The sequence below is a fragment of the Homo sapiens genome, chromosome 3 (genome assembly GCF_000001405.40).
Source record: "Homo sapiens chromosome 3, GRCh38.p14 Primary Assembly".
In the NCBI taxonomy this organism is placed as follows: Eukaryota; Metazoa; Chordata; class Mammalia; order Primates; family Hominidae; genus Homo; species Homo sapiens.
The window spans coordinates 140,500,302-140,517,497 of NC_000003.12; the positions used below are offsets into that span (position 1 = coordinate 140,500,302).

General features: G+C 40.6%; 1 protein-coding gene and 1 long non-coding RNA gene across 3 annotated transcripts in view; one reads left to right on the top strand and one right to left on the bottom strand.

Annotated features, from left to right (window-relative positions):
- CLSTN2 (calsyntenin 2) overlaps positions 1-17,196 on the top strand; it is a 642,213-nt gene that overhangs the window by 565,117 nt on the left and 59,900 nt on the right. The window lies entirely within an intron of this gene.
- Positions 5,317-8,488, bottom strand: CLSTN2-AS1 (CLSTN2 antisense RNA 1). Its single transcript, NR_108084.1, has 2 exons — positions 6,351-8,488; positions 5,317-5,864 (listed from the first exon to the last, which is right to left on the bottom strand). It is a non-coding gene; the product is annotated as a CLSTN2 antisense RNA 1 (long non-coding RNA).

Genomic DNA, 17,196 nt, shown 5'->3' on the forward strand with positions numbered 1-17,196 from the left:
ATCCAGAAAATATCTGGGTAATATATAGGACCCAGAAAGAAAGACTTACTTCAAAATTAGGAATGCACTCAGAATATCTGTGAGGGAAGGACAAACTTTCTGATATGAGCAATCCCATCATGGAACCAAAGTAAACCATTCAAGCAGGATTCTACAGTCATGAATGTAAAACAAGGATTATACTAAAGGACAAGAAATTGGGATGTTTCTGAATCAGAGGAGTGTTGGACCTGTCTATTCTTTGCCTGTGTTTGATTAGTGTTGTGTTTTTATTGTTGGTTTGGTTTTCGTGTTTGCTCAGTTGGCTGGAAAAGCCAGCCAAGGAAGAAGTACCTCCTAGAGTTAGGAAAGCTGGGCTCTGGTCCCAGTCCCCCAACCTCATAAGCTGCCTCTGATAAAATCATTGTACTTCTTCTGGCCTTACTTTTTTCATTTGTAGAACGCATATTATACCCACTCATCCTCCCAGGGAGACTGAGGAGAAAATGGAATATTGTGGGGGTACTTTGAAAATAATAAAGTATTATTTTATTAATGGAAAATGATTAGTGCTGTTGCCATTAACCATGGCTATTAAGAATCTATTAATACAAATTAACCCTAAATCTGAGAAATGGAGTATAAATAAATAAATAATACCTCAATTAACAGGTTTAAATAATTTAAATCATTATGATTGAGTACCAGTCTTGTTCCTCTCACTTCTAGTTGAGTGTTCGGGTGAAGGGAAGGAACCCCTGACACTGTTTAATGGAGCGAATCTTGCTGTTGAGAGAGCCAGCCCTTCACTTAACACACATGGTGCCCAAGTTACCTCATTCCCAAATCAGTCACTCTCGCTCCCTCCACCCACCTTGCTCTTGTTCTCTTTCTCTCTCTCCTGCATACTTTCTAGCTTGCCAATAATTAAGTTCCTGAAATTCCATCGCTTCCTCATTAAGCTAAGGGATAAAAAAGATTCAGTTCAGATGTTTGCAAAAGCAGCCCTGGTCACTCTAATGCTCTTTGGAGGCTGTTGGCTTCAATGGCCACCACACAAGGATAACTTCCTCATACCAGTCCTCCTGCAAACTAGCTTTCTCCTGCCTAGCCTGAAGGCTAGATGCAGGAAGGAGGGGCACCCTTGCGTCCTTAGGGATTAAATGAAATCCTTCAGGAGGCCTCGGCTCCTCTCCCAGACAAACTCTGTAAGAGCTCCACAGTGGGTTAATGGGAGCTCCATGCTTTTCAGAGTCAGTTGTATGAATTTTTTCTAGCAAAATTTATAACCATAGAAAGCAGATTTTCTCATCAGATTATGTAACTGAGCCACAGCTGGTAAGAGTTGAGTTGTGTTTCCCAAGGCCCTCCCCCATCCCACAGTGTCTAGTTCCATTTGACCTACAAGAATCCTTACACAGACACTCTATCTAAATTCTCATCCAATAAATGATTGTTTTTCTTTTTCTTTCTTGAGTGATAGTACTGCTTAGTGGTTTAGAGCAGAACTTCTCAAACTTTAATGTGCATGTTAATTGCCTGGAGAACTTGTTAAGATTCAGATTCAGAAGGCCTGGGGTGGAGTCTATGATTCTACATTTCTAACCAGCTCCCAAGGGATGCCTGTGCTGCTGGTTCATGGCCCACAGTTCAAACAGCAAGGCTGTAGACACAAACTCATTGTGTGACCTTGGACATGTTATTCCACCTCTCTGAGCTTCAGTCTATTTGTAAAATGGAGAAAATAATAGTAATACCTCCAAGAATTATTGGGAGAATAGGCAATGCAAAGATCTTAGCCCAGGGTATGGCACAAAATGTATGAAAGCAGGCTGTGCTTATGGTGGTGGTGGGTGAAGGGTAAAATAAAAAAAAGGGAACCTTCTCCCAAGTGGGCCTTTCCCCAGGGAGATGTCTCAGAGACTCAGAAGGGCACATCTTTCAGGCTCAGCACTGTCTGACCTGAAAGTCAACTAATTCTACACCTCTAAATGGAGCAAATTGTAGCAAATGAACACAGGCTTGTGGGGCTGAGCAGTGAAGGATGCAGGCCTGTTTGCATACAGGGTGGACAGAGGGCAGCTACTGACCCCTGTACCCCACAGTTCACTGTGAAGGCAATCAGGAATTGAGCCCTTATTAAACAGCTTGGGGAGTCTTAGGCATGCAGAAGCCACCAAGCAGAGGTGGTCTTTGGTTATCCTGTGTGTGGTCAGCCCAGCACTTTTAAACACCTTTTGGAAGATGAGCTTTTTGTTTGTTTGTCTAAAGTAATCGTGAATTACACATATTGATAAACACTCTTCAAAATACTGAGAGAATCAGAAATCAGAGCACATTGTGCCTGGCATCTATGAAGAATTTCAGGGCAGGGGATGGGGTGCAGTGGAGTGTGGAGCTGGCCTTGGAAAGCTGATTGGTCGGGAGAAGTGGAAGAAGGAGATGAGACAGCAGAGCAGAAGTGGCGTACACAAAGTCTAGTATAAAAGGGGAACATTGAGGAAATCAGTTTGTGTAGAGAAGCAAGGATTGTGTGTTGAGCAAGATGAGTGTGTTGGTTTCCTATTGCAACCATATAATATACCACATATGTAGTGACTTCAACATAAGTTTATTATCTTACAATCTTGGAGGTCAGATGTCTGAAATGGGTCTCCGGGGCTAAAATCAATCAAAGTATTGGGAAGGCTGTGCTCCTTCTGGAGGCCCTAGAAGAGCTTCTGTTTCCTTCTACTTTACAGTTTACAACACGCCATGGCTTATAGCCCCTTTCATCTTTAAGGTCAGCCACTGCATTATTCAACCTCTTCTTCATTCATCACATCATGTCTGGCTCTCCTGCCTCCCTCTTTAATTGTGAGGACCTTTGTGTAGCATTGGACCCACCTAAATGGTCCAGGATACTCTCCCCATCTCAAGATTCTTCATTTAATCACTTCTGAAAAGTCCTTTTTGCTGTTTAAGTACAGTCATGTGCCACATAATCACATTTCAGTCAATGATAGACTGCATATAGGAAGGTAGTCCCATGAGATTATAATACTGCATCACCATTTTACATTTTTTATATTTACTTGTGTCTAAATAAACACATACTTACCATCATGTTACATCTGCCTACAGTATTTGGTACAGTAACATCCTGTACAGGTCCATAGCCTAGGAGCAATAGGCTGTACCATAGAGCCTAGGTGTGTAGTGGGCTATGCCGTCTAGGTTTGTGTGAGTGCACTCTATGATGTTCGACAATGAAGAAATAACCGAAGGACGCATTTCTTAGAATGTGTCCTTGTTGCTAAGCGATGCATGACTGTAACATATTCACAGGTTTCAGAGATTAGGACATGAACCTATAAGGGGGCCATTATCCTGACAACACAATAGGAATGCTCTTAATGAGCCAGCTCTCCAGGATGTTGTTAGAAATTCAACTTTTTAAGAAAATTTCTTAAAAGGAACAAAATTATTATCCAACAGTTAAAGACAGCAGAAAAAAGAATTTTTCTTGATTCGGCTATAGCCCCTGGTTTATAAGTAGAAGTTTACCCTCACATGAGGACCTAGGACCCACAGTATGTGGCATAGTGGTGGGGTCTCCTTCCAAGGGGGCTCCTTAGGAAGAACTGCAGGAAAGACAGTTACAGGTGATGAGGACCTTTGAGAGCCTGCCATCTTCAGCCTCCCCTTTCTCTTCTCAAAACTGCCCTCCCCTTAGCAGATAAAGCCACAAAATCCCTTAGAATCTCAGGCATAAGAATCAATGCCCTCTAAAATAGTCTTCAGTCTGAGCACCTCATCCACTTCTGCCAGATCACTAGAGAGGGAGCCTACAAGGCTTTGCCAGGCAGTTCTGAGGCTCCAGCTCTTAGCTTTCTCTGTGTGGAGCAGGGCGCCTGATACATGGCAGGCTCCATGCATATTTAGTTAACAGATGAATGAATGAATGAGGTTTATGGACCTTTTCATGAGAGCCTTTATTGTCATTAACAAGGGGTCCTTCTTGAAAAATAGCACTTTCTGAACACATAGAACATCTTACAAATTACTAATATTATATACGATTCAAGGAATATTTTTCTCATGCCAAAAAAAAAAAGGTGGTGCTCCACTATTCTGGCCACTGCTTTTTCTGTCATAGTGAGTAATGGTATCAAATGCAGTGAACACTCTGCATTTTTATGCCCCTAGCCCTGTATTTGAGAGCCATAGTGGGGAACAAGAGAAGACCAAAACAGAGTCCTGGACTCTGAGGCCTTCCCAGTCTTGTTCTAAGACTGTATAATCTGGTTCCTGAACAGTGCAGGTTGGATGGAAGTCATCAGGAAGAATGAGCCACACTGATCTCAGTAAACAAGGGAGGCCATTTATATTCACATTTTCTTACATCCACAGTCACACCAAAGCTTGGAACCAGCACATGCTTTGCCTGTAATTGGCACTCACAAAGTCTATCCTAGGTGATTAATCAGAACCTAGCATGAAAGTATAAGGACTATTCCACCTTCTCTCCAGAGCCAGAGAAAGGTGGTAGGAGGAACGCTTTTGTGTTTGTGGCATTTGTTTTGTTTTGATTTTTTGGGGGAGGGGAAAGAGTATTACTGGATTTCAATCAGTTTCCAGAGCTTTATATGAGACCAAAACTCAAGTGAAAATTCCGCTTGGCAAATATCCGTAACAGCCTGTGCTTAAGATCTTAGATATCCTAATGGATTTAAAACTGCAACTGTTCTTCAAATATTTCTACAAATTCCCCCAAACTTAACAGACTGACTCGTAGTTCAAAGAAAGTATCTTTTTTTTTTGCTGTGGAATTCCAAGCTGAGACAACCTGTTGACAAGCCTTCTCTCGAGGTCCCTGTGAAATGCAAATTGGCCCTTCTGCAGAAATCATTCTACAAGGGGAGCAGGTGGTCCAGATGTGGCTGGAATGGGTTTGTCTTTTCTAGAGCAATGATGTGATGTTCATGGCATGACCCCACTGATGGCCTTTAATTTCATTCAGTGGCTCTGAATTCCACCAGAACAAGATTGGTCTGGGAAGTCCCTGTGGTGAAAGGTCTGTACTGGGGCTCCATTATAAATGCACATTGTTCTTCTCTGCCACTCCCCCACAGAGCAATCAGATACACACACAGGCAGCCATGTGGTTGAAGGAGAGTCCCGTTACCATAGAGCTGCTGGTTTACAGAGCCAGTAGCTGAGGCAGTCCCCAGTGAGCTCTGAGATGTGGGACATGCTTTCTCGCCAGCACGTGCTGTTTTTTTGTATGTGGAAACACTTACCCAATTCCATTCAAGACCAGTTCAGTTCACTTCTCCAAAGGAGCAACATTTATAATTGAATTATTTAGGGAAGGTTTATTTACCATCACTGAGATATGAGATATGTCAACTAAATTATAATTATGTTTCTCTTAAGACATCCACTGAGATTACTCTGTTATTTTTTTAAACTTGCAAGGAGGATTCCACCTCTGTTCTCCTAGAGACAGGCTGTGTTTACAGATGGCCAGCCTCGATATTCTGAGTGGCAGAATGAAAAATTAATTTTCTTCAACTACATTACTGAGTAGTTAACTGCATCTCAGCAACCTATTTGTTTAATACACTGGAGTCCTCTTCAAAGAGCCTATGATTTATTCTCACCTTTGCCAAGAACTTCTTTCGAACACACACTCCTGAGGACAGGAAACAGGATTTCTGGGCTCCATCCCTGCCACTAACAAGCTGTTTTATCTTGAGCGAGTCACTGGCAGTCTCTGAGCCACAGAAAAACTGGCCTCATAATCTGGGAGATCCTCCCACCTACTCTTCTGCAGCTGCCCACAAATGCCGGAATCCGTGGTGAGAAGAGTTTTGTGTAATCACTCTCTGCTATTTATCTGCCTAGGAAAGAATGAAAGGAGAAATTAAGCATGGAAAGAAACATTTTGCATGAAGTATTCTCTCTCTCATTCCTCCCATTAATCTTTGCTTCCCCTGGCAAGTCCTTAAGAAGCAGGGAAAGCCATGTCAGGAGATGCCTCCCTCCTTCTGCCCATTCTTCTCTTTGCCTGAGTCCTCTGGGATCATTTCTTTTTCTCCTTTACACAGCATGAATATTCCCCTGCCTCTCTTTCGTCACACTCCCCTCCTTATGATGCTGCCCTGGAACCCCAGGGTCCTTCAAGCCCTCCCCTCACCTTCTCTTTGGGATGGTAATTTAGCACTAGGTACCCAGGATTTGATCCCGTTGTGGCTAAAAGGCTCGGTGCCCAGTAACAGAGTAAGAGCCTGGGAGGACAGGTGGGGCTCTGCAGAACATGACCACCATTCATCGATCCACTTCCCCTCCACGCTCTCATTTGTGACCAACATTTGTTGTGCACCTACCTCATACCTGGAGATGTGGAAGTGGATGTGGTTCTTATCCTTGTGGATCAAAGAGTCAAGAGCTGGGCTATAACCCATAGGAGAGCCATTAGTCACCTGTGACTGTCAAGCACTTGAAATGTGGCTAGTCCAAATTGAAGTGTGCTGCTAGGGTAAAATCATGATGGATTGGAAAGAGTACAAAAACAGAATGTAAAATGTAATAATTTTTAATATTAATTACATGTTGAAATGATAAATGGCTATATTGGACTAAAGTACAGTATTAAATTCACCTGTTTCTTTTTACTTTTCTAATATGGCTACTGGAAAATGTAAAATTACATGTGTGTCTTGAATATGTGAGGGACCGGGATGGACAGAGAATGCTACAGGCTGGTGCAGTCACACTGGTCCAGATGGGGTGATGAGGAACATCGGGGGTTGAGCCTCTTCCTGGACTGGGCAGAGGGAGGGAAGAGGGCTCATGCCGAGAACCATGTAAGTATTATAACTGAGGGCCATGAGTTAAGGAAGGAATGTCAGGAGTAACACCTACTCCTTTTAGCACTTATGAGGTAAGCCAGTGTTCTAAGCGTTTTACATGTATTAACTCAATCATCACAACCCCTCAAGGTAGTTACTAGTGTTATCATTTCTGTTTGAGGCACAGACAGGAAATGTAACTAACTCTCCTGAGATCACGCAGTCAGGACGTGATCAAATCAGAATTTGAACCTGAGGGGTCGGGTTCCACAGCCTCAACATGGAACTGTGCTATGTATAGCCTTCCTCCAAGGTTGGAATGGGCATCCCCATGGTTTGGGGTGAGGTAGACCCACCGGTGTGCTGACAGGAGCAGGGGTAGGAGAAGGCACCTGCCCTCTACCCCTATATCACAAACCCACCCCTCGCTTCTGTGCCACAGGGTGCTGCCTTTGCTTGTTCTGTCTGCCTTGAATGCTGTGACATTCATCCTCGTCCTTTCCTTCACCATCACTTTCTGATCTCCAAAACTAGGTAAAATTCCTCTATTATGGGCTTGTATGACACCTTGTACCTCTACTCATAGGATGTCTTATAGACATAATGTTACATTTATTTACGTGAGTGTTTAATTTTCTGTCTGTCACCTAAGGGAAAGAGCTATGTCTATTTTTACTTTCTATATTCAGCACCTAACATAATGTGTGACCTCATACCAATAAATACCTATTTAATAAATAATCGATTCTTCCTGCAAGATAGATTTTCTACCCATCTTATAGATGAAGAAACTACACTCAGCAAGTTTAAGAAACTTGCCCCAAGTTCCAATCCCAAGTAAGTGGATAGAGCTGAAATTTCCCCTGAGCCAACTCACTTCAAAGCCACTACCTTTCAGTGGAAATCCAAATAGGTGCTGCTATCCCCAGAATGTGCATGGAAGCCACAGACTGGTGAGGAGACCTGTGCAACATGCATTGGCCCCTCCCTAGCTAGAGTCTTATGGGGACTCACTCATATCTGATGACTTGTACCCTCCTTCCTTCTCCCCATGGGGCCCTCATCTTCTAACCAAAACCCTCTGTGTCTGCCAGGGACTTCTCAACTCTTTTTCTTGGACAGACGGCACTGCTGAGTTTGCTAGAATTCCAAGGATTTGGCACAGACATGGCCTTATCCCCAGGAACGCCCTCCCAGTTTCCAAGCTGGACCCTCATATTCTCCTTTTCTACAGGAATCATTTCCAGGGTCGCTAGCTCTTAATGCAATCATTTGTTCATTCATTCAGTCAGTCAGTTGATCTGCCAATACATACTAATTGTTGAATGGCTATCATATCCCTTATACTTACCTTGAGAAGCTCAGAGGCTTTTGCAGGAGGTGTTAGAACCCATAGGATGGGACCTCACCCCCATCCTAAAATGACTCTCTTTGAAGACAATTCCTATTTGGAGGCAAGCGATCTGCTTAGTCTTTGTGCAGTTTATTGTGTTCAGAGAGGGAACACATGAGGAGAAATATTCCCTTTCCTAATTGCCAAATTTAAGACAGGTGCTTCCTGGCCTGCTCAAATATTAAACTCACTCTGTACATGGGCACTTACAACCGACAACAGGCAGGCTGTGCCTCTGCAGCTCTGAATCTGTGCCCAGGGCCCTGACAGACAGCAGCTGGTTCAGGAAATTCATGAGGAAAATATCCCTAGATGAATTCTGTGGCATGTCCTGCAAGCAAAAACCTGGGAGGAGGAAGAAAGCCTGGCGGGCCTAAGAGAGGGTTTTGCTTTTTTGCCCCCCTTTTTTTTTTGAGTGGGGGCTCACAGGTAAGAGGAGTCCTCATGCTCAAAATAAGAAGCAGGAAGAAATATGTCAGCAGAGGGAGGGAAGCTTTGAAATGGGGGTAGGAAGAATGGTGGGGCAAGAGGGAGACTGGCATTTGCTGGAAAGTGGGAAGGGGCTGGCTACAGTCTGTTTTGTTCACTGTCACATCCCCAATGCTTGGGAAGTACCTGGAACATATGTGTGAATGAATTGAGTGAATTTCACAGCATGTGTCATCTAGGATTTTTTGGTCCCTGAGATAGCCATAGGTACATAGCAGGAGGACAAATGTGGTCCAAAAATTTGGTAAACGGTCTACTCTGTTCCCCACCTTAGCATATTATAGTCTCTGAGACAGAGGTTCTCAAACTTAACCACACCAAAACCACCTGGAGGGCTTATTGAAACACAAATGGCCAAGCCCTGCTCCTGGAGTTTCTGATTCCATGGGTCTGAGGTGAGGCTGGAGAGTGAATTTATAGCAAGTTCCCAGCTGATACTGATGCTGTGGTTCAGAGACCACACTTTGAGAACCACTGTTCTGAGGCATCCTGCTGAAAGAAGCCTGATGGACTGTTAAATGAGGCTTTTCCAAAGCATTTTTTACTCTGGGCCCCTTTGTTCATGGTATATCTGGCAAGACAATCAGCACCTCAGTGGGGAAAGGAAGTCTGAAAGGGTCTGAGGTGAACATTTCCCTGAGTAATAGTGAATGGGGGGGCCTCATCTCCTCCTGGCATGTCCCATTCCTCCAGGCTCCTGCAGGAGACAGCACAGGGAATGCACAACCCCCACTTCGTTGAGACTGGATTTCCTGCCCTAACCTCTGGTTCTCACATCAACACCGTCAGCTCTACCTCTGTGGGGCTTTGTGGAATTTGCAAATCAGCCCCAGGCTGGGTAAGGGGAGAAGCTTTGAATTAGATAAGAGACTAATTGAAGTGGACTTTTTAATATAGATGCTCCTCAACTTATAATGGGGTTGTTTTCCAATAAGCCCATCGTAAGTTGAAAATACCATAAATTAAAAATGTATTTAATACACTTAAGCTACTGAACATCAAAGCTTAGCCTAGTCTACCTTCCATGTGCTCAGAACACTTACATTAGCCTACAATTGGGCAAATCATCTAACACAAAGCTTCCATTTTATAATAAAGTGTTAAGTATCTCATGTAGTTTATTGAAAACTATATTGAAAGTCAAAAACAATGGTTATATTAGTACTCAAAGTACAGTCTCTACTGAATACGTATTGTTTTTGCTCCATTGTAAAGTTGAACAATTATAAGTCAGGGATCATCTGTACATGAAAACAGTGACTTGAGACACTAACAGATCTGCCAAGGTGTCATCTAGGTGTGGAAAGGGAGATCTGATTGACACTGCTTAAGGGCAGTGGTGAGAAAGAAAGAAAAAAACCCCTGCTGATTATGTATGCAAAAGTCGCAGCACGGTGCTAGAGTGCTAGGCACATCATCAGTGCATAATAAAGGTGTGCTTACTCTCCCCGGGGATGAGATTAAATCCTGGGTGCAAAGCAAGTCTTGATTTCCATGCTCGAAGCACAAATTACAAGGATGGTTTTTCAGGATTGTTTTGGGGATTTGCCCAAATGTTGCTCAACCAAATTTCAAACGAGGGTGGTCTCTTTGACACAGGCTACTTTTCAGATTTCCTGCTCCCCTGCACTCCAGCACCCTGAGTCAGCAGTCACTTTTTGACAGGAGGCCCAGCAGGTGCTTTCTGAGCTGTCATGATTACCTTCCAGTGAAAACACACTACGCTTCTTGCTGCCAGTTTGGAAGTGCAGGCAACCTCCTGGGAAGATCTTGAATAGATTTGCAAATGAGAGTAACATCTTTGCCCTGGCATAAAGTTGATCTGGGTGCTAACCAAAGTCTCTTTTTTTTCCTTCAACTTTTATTTTAAACTCAGGGGTACATGTGTAGGATGTGCAGGTTTGCTACACAGGTAAATGCGTGCCATGGTGGTTTGCTGCACAGATCATCCCATCACCTAGGTATTAAGCTCAGTGTCCGTTAGCTATTCTTTCTGATGCTCTCCCTCCCCTTACTCTACCCCGTTCGACAGGCCCCACTGTGTGCTGTTCCCCCCACCATGTGTGTCTATGTGTTCTCATCATTCAGCTCCCACTTATAAGTGAGAACATGTGGTGTTTGGTTTTTTGTTCCTGTGTTAGTTTCCTAAGGATAATTAATGGCTTCCAACTCCATCCATGTCGCTGCAAAGGACATGATCTCACTCCTTTTATGGCTACATAGTATTCCATGGTGTATACGTAGCACATTTTCTTTATCCAGTCTATCATTGATGGGCATTTAGATTGATTTCATGTCTTTGCTATTGTGAATAGTGCTACAGTGAACGTACACGTGCTTGTATCTTTATAATAAAATGATTAATATTCGTTTGAGTACATATGCAGTAATGAAATTGCTGGGTCAAATGGTATTTCTGCCTCTAGATCTTTGAGGAATCACCACACTGTCTTCCACAATGGTTGAACTAATTTATGCTCCCACCAACAGTGTAAAAGCATTCTCTTACTCTGCAACTGTGCCAGTATCTGCTGTTTCTGGACTTTTTTTTTTTTTTTTTTTTTTTTTTGAGACAGAGCCTCACTCTGTCACCCAGCGTGGAGTGCAGTGGTGCAATCTCAGCTCACTGCAAGCTCTGCCTCCCGGGTTCACGCAATTCTCCTGCCTCAGCCTCCCGTGTAGCTGGGACTACAGATGCCAGCCACCACACCTGGCTAATTTTTTTTTTTTTTGTATTTTTAGTAGAGATGGGGTTTCACAATGTTAGCCAGAATGGTCTCAATCTCCTGACCTCGTGATCCGCCTGCCTCTGGACTTTTTAATATTAGCCATTCTGACTGGTGTGAGGTGGTATCTCATTGTGGTTTTGATTTGCATTTCTCTAATGATCAATGATGTTGAGCTTTTTTTTCATATGTTTGTTGGCCACAAGTATGTCTTCTTTTGTGAAGTGTCTGTTCATGTCCTTTGCCCATTTTTTAATGTGATTTTTTTTTTCTTGTACGTTTGCTTAAGTTCCTTGTAGGCTCTGGATATTACACCTTTGTCAGATGGCTAGAATACAAAAATGTTCTCCCATTCTGTAGGTTTTCTGTTCACTATGATGATAGTTTCTTTTGCTGTGCAGCTCTTCAGTTTAATTAGATCTCATTTGTCAATTTTTGCTTTTGTTTCAAAATTTTGCATTTGGTGTTTTCGTCATGAAGTCTTTGCCCATGCCTATGTCCTGAATGGTATTGCCTGGGTTTTCTTCTAGGGTTTTTATAGTTTTGAGTTTTATATTTAAGTCTTTAATTCATGTTGAGTTAATTTTTGCATCTATAGTTTTCTGCATATGGCTAGCCAGTTCTCCCAGCACGATTTATTAAATAGGGAATGCTTTCCCCATTGCTTGTTTTTCTCAGGTTTGTCAAAGATCAGACGGTTGTAGGTGTGTGGTCTTATTTCTGACTTTTCTATTCTGTTCCATTGGTCTATGTGTGTTTTGGTTACCAGCATCATTCTGTTTTGATTACTATAGTCTTGTAGTGTAGTTTGAAGTCAGATAGTGTGATGCCTCCAGCTTTATTCTTTTTCTTAGGATTACCTTGGCTATTTGGGCTCTTTTTGCTTCCATATAAATTTTAAAATAGCTTTTCTAATTTCGTGAAGAATGTCAATGGTAGTTTCATGGGAATAGCATTGAATCTATAAATTACTTTGAGCAGTATGCCCATTTTTAAGATATTGATTCTTCCTATTCATGATCATAGAATGTCTTTCCATTTGTTTATGTCATCTCTAAATTCCTTGAGTAGTGGTTTGTAATTCTCCTTGAAGAGGTCCTTCAGTTCCCTTGTTAGCTGTATTCCCAGGTATTTTATTCTTATTGTGGCAGCTGTAAATGGGAGTTCATTCATGATTTGGTTCTCTGCTTGCATGTTGTTGGTGTATAGGAATGCTAGTGATTTTTGCACATTGATTTTGTATCCTGAGACTTTGCTGAAGTTGCTTATCAGCTTAAGATGCTTTTCAACTAAGACGATGGGATTTTCTAGATATAGGGTCATGTCATCTGCAAGCAAAGATAACTTGACTTCCTTTCTATTTAAATACTTTTATTTCTTTCTCTTGCTTGATTTCCTGGGCCAAACTTCCAATACAATGTTGAATAGGAGTGGTGAGAGAGGGCATCCTTGTCTTGTGCCAGTTTTCAAGGGGAATGCGTCCAGCTTTTACCCATTCAGTATGATATTGGCTGTGTGTTTGTCATAGATGGCTCTTAGTATTTTTAGGTATGTCCCTTCAATACCTAGTTTATTGAGAGTTTTTAACATGAAGCGATGTTAAATTTTATCAAAGGCCTTTTCTGCATCTATTGAGATAATCATGTGGTTTTTGTCTTTGGTTCTGTTTATGTGATGAATCACATTTATTAATTTGCATAGGTTGAACCAAACTTGCATCCTGGAGATGAAGCCAAGTTTATCATGGTGGATAAGCTTTTAGATGTGCTGCTGTATTCAGTCTGCCAGTATTTCGTTGATAATTTTTGCATCAATGTTCATCAAGGATACTGACCTGAAGCTTTCTTTTTTTTTCTTTCTTTTTTTTTTTTTTTTTGGGTGTGTGTCTCTGCCAGATTTTGATATCAGGATGAAGCCAGCCTCATAAAATGAGTTAGGTAGGAATCCCTTCTTTTCAATTGTTTGGAATAGTTTCAGTAGGAATGGTACCAGCTCTTCTTTGTACCTCTGGTAGAATTTAGATGTAAATCTGTCTGGGCCTGGGCTTTTTTTGGTTGGTAGGCTATTTATTACCACCTTAATTTCAAAACTTGTTATTGGTCTATTCAGGGATTCAATTTCTTCCTGGTTCAGTCTTGGGATCTAGTGTATGTGCATACTGGAAATTTATAGTATTCTCTGATGGTTGTTTGCATTTCTGTGGGGTCAGTGATGATATTCCACTTATCATTTCTGATTGTGTCTATTTGATTCTTCTCTCTTTTATTCTTATTAGTCAAGATAGCAGTCTATTTTATTAATTTTTTCAAAAGGCAGCTCCTGGATTCATTTATTTTTTTGAAGTGTTTTTCATGTCACTATCTCCTTCAGTTTCACTCTGATCTTGGTTCTTTCTTATTTTGAATTTTGTATAGTTTTCTATATTTTTTCAATAGGTTTTTGGAGAACAGGTGGCGTTTGGCTACATGAATAAGTTCTTTAGTGGTGATTTTTGTGATTTTGGTGCACACATCATCCAAGCAGTATACACTGTGCCCAATATGTACTCTTTTATCCCTCACACCCCAAAGTCCATTGTGTCATTCTTATGCCTTTGCATCCTCATAGCTTAGCTCCCACTCATGAGTGAGAACATATGATGTTTGATTTTCCATTCCTGAGTTACTTCACTTAGAATTATGGTCTCCAATTCCACCCAGGTTGCTGTGAATGCCATTATTTTGTTCCTTTTTATAGCTGAGAGGTATTCATACATATACATATACTACATATACATATACTACAATTTCTTTATCCACTTGTTGATTGATGGGCATTTGGTCTGGTTCCATATTTTTGCCATTGCAAATTGTGCTGCCATTAACATGCGTGTCAAGTATCTTTTTCATATAATGACTTCTTTTCCTCTGGGTAGATTCCCAGGAGTGGGATTGCTGGAACAAATGGTAGTTCTACTTTTAGTTCTTTGAGGGATCTCTACACTGTTTTCCATAGTGGTTGTACTACTTAATATTCCCACCAGCAGTATAAAAGTGTTCTCTTTTCACCACATCCATGCCACCATGCCAACATCTATTTATTTTTATGTTCTTAGTGTTGCCATTCTTGCAGAAGTAAGGTGGAATTGCATGGTGGTTTAGATATTAGGGTGACACTAGCTTCATAGAATGATTTAGGGAGGACTCTCTCTTTCTCTATCTTTTGGAATAGTTTCAGGATGATTAGTATTAATTCTTCTTTGAAAGTCTGATAAAATTCAGCTATGAATCTATTTGGTCCTGGACTTTTTTTGTTGGCTATTATTTTTATGACCATTTCAATCTTGCTGCTTGTTATTGGTCTGTTCAGAGTTTCTGTTTCTTCCTGGTTTAATCTAGGAATGTTGTATACCTTCAGGAATTTATTCCTCTCCTCTAGGTTTCCTAGTTTATGCACATAAAGGTGTTCAGTAGCCTTGAATGATCTTTTGTATTTCTGTGGCATTGGTTGTAATACCTTCTGTTTCATTTCTAATGGAGCTTCTCTCTTCTTTTCTTGGTTAATCTTACTAATTGTCTATCAGTTTTATTTTTTCCCCAAAGAACCAGCTTTTGGTTTAATTAGTCTTTTTATTGTTTTTCTGCTTTGTTTGTTTCAGTTTCATTTAGTCAGCTCTGATCTTTGTTATTTCTTTTCTTCTGCTGTGTCTGGGCTTGGTTTGTTCTTGTTTCCCTAGTTCCTTGAGGTGTGGCCTTAGATTGTCCATTTGTGCTCTTTCAGACTTACTGATGTAGGGATTTAATGCTATGAAGTTTCCTTTAGCACTGCCTTTGCTGTATCCAAGAGGTTTCGATGGGTTGTATCACTATTATAATTCAATTCAAAATTTTTTTTAATTTTCATCTTGATTTCGTTGTTTACCCAACAAGCATTCAGGAGCAGGTTATTTAATTTCTATGTATTAGAATGGTTTTGAGGGTTCTTTTTGGAGTTGATTTCCAATTTCATTGTGGTCTGAGAGAGTGTTTGATATAATTTCAATTTTTTTAAAATGTATTGAGACTTGTTTTGTGGCCTATCATATGGTCTATCTTGGAGAATGTTCCATGTGCCGATGAGTAGAATGTTCTGTAAATATCTGTTAAGTCCATTCATTCTAAGTTATAGTTTAAGTAAGTTGTTTCTTTGTTGACTTTCTGCCTTGAGGACATGTCTACTGCTGTCAGTAGAATATTAAAGCCCCCACTATTATTGTATTGCTGTCTATCTCATTTCTTAGCTCTAGTAGTAATTGTATAAATTTCGAAGCTGCAGTGTTAGGTGCATATATATTTATGATAGTGATATTTTCCTATTGGACAAGTACTTTTATCATTATGTAATGTTCCTCTTTGTCTTTTTTTAACTCTGTTGCTTTAAAGTTTGTTTTTTCTGATATAAGAATAGCTACTCCTGCTCTGTTTGTGACCATTTGCATGGAATATATTTTTCCACCCCTTTACCTTAAGTTATGCTAAGTCCTTATGTGTTATGTGAGTTCCTTAAAGACAGCAGCTACTTGGTTGGTGAATTTTTATCCATTCTGCCATTCTGTATTTTTTGAGTGGAGCATTTAGGCCATTTACATTCAATATCAATATTGATATGTGAGATACTATTCTATTCATTCTGCTATTTGTTGCCTGAATACCTTGCTTTTTTTCATAGTTTTTTGTTTTATAGATTCTGTGAGATTTATGCTTTAAGGATGTTCTATTTTGGTTTATTTGGAGGATATGTTTCAAGATTTAGAGGTGCTTTTAGCAGTTCATATAGTGCTGGATTGGTAGTAGTGAATTCTTTTGGCATTTTTTTTTTTCTTTTTGTCTGAAAAAGACTGTATCTTTCCTTCATTTATGAAGCTTAGTTTTGCTGGATACAATATTCTTGGCTCATAATTATTTTGTTTAAGAAGGCTACAGATAGGGCCCCAATCCCTTCCAGCTTGTAGGGTTTCTGGTGAGAAATCTGCTGTTAATTTGACAGGTTACCTGATGCTTTTGCCTCGCAGCTCTTAAGATTCTTTTCTTAGTCATCAAGTTATCTAAAGTCAAGACAATGTGCTTAGGCAATGATCTTTTTGTGATAAATTTCCAAGGTGTTCTTTGAGCTTTTTGTATTTGGATGTCTAGATCTCTAGCAAAGCCATGGAAGTTTCCCTCAATTATTCCTTCAAATACGTTTTCCAAACTTTTAGATTTCTCTTCCTCCTCAAGAACATCAACTAATCTTAGGTTTTGTCATTTAACATAACTTCTTGGAGACTTAGCTCATTTTTTAAAAAATTCTTTCTTCTTTGACTTTGTTGCAGTGAGTTAATTCAAAAGCCTTGTCTTCAATCCCTGAAGTTCTTTCTTCTACTTGTTCCATTCTACTGTTGAGACTTTCCAGTGTATTTTGCATTTCTCTAAGTGTGTCCCTCCTCTCCAAAAGTTGTGATTGTTTTTCACTTATGCTATCTATTTTACTGAAGATTTTTCCCTTCATATGTTGTATTCATTAAATTGGACTTCACTTTTCTCTGGTGCCTCCTTGATTAGCTTAATAATTGACCTTCTGAATTATTTTTTCTGGTAATTCAGATATTTCTTCTTGGTTTGGGTCCATTGGTGGTGAGCTGGTGTGATACTTTGGGGGTGTTAAAGAACCTTGTTTTGTTATGTTACCAGAATTGTTTTTCTGGTTTCTTCTCATTTGGATAGACTATGTCAGAGGGAGGATTTGGGACTCAAGGGCTGCTGTTCAGATTTTTTTG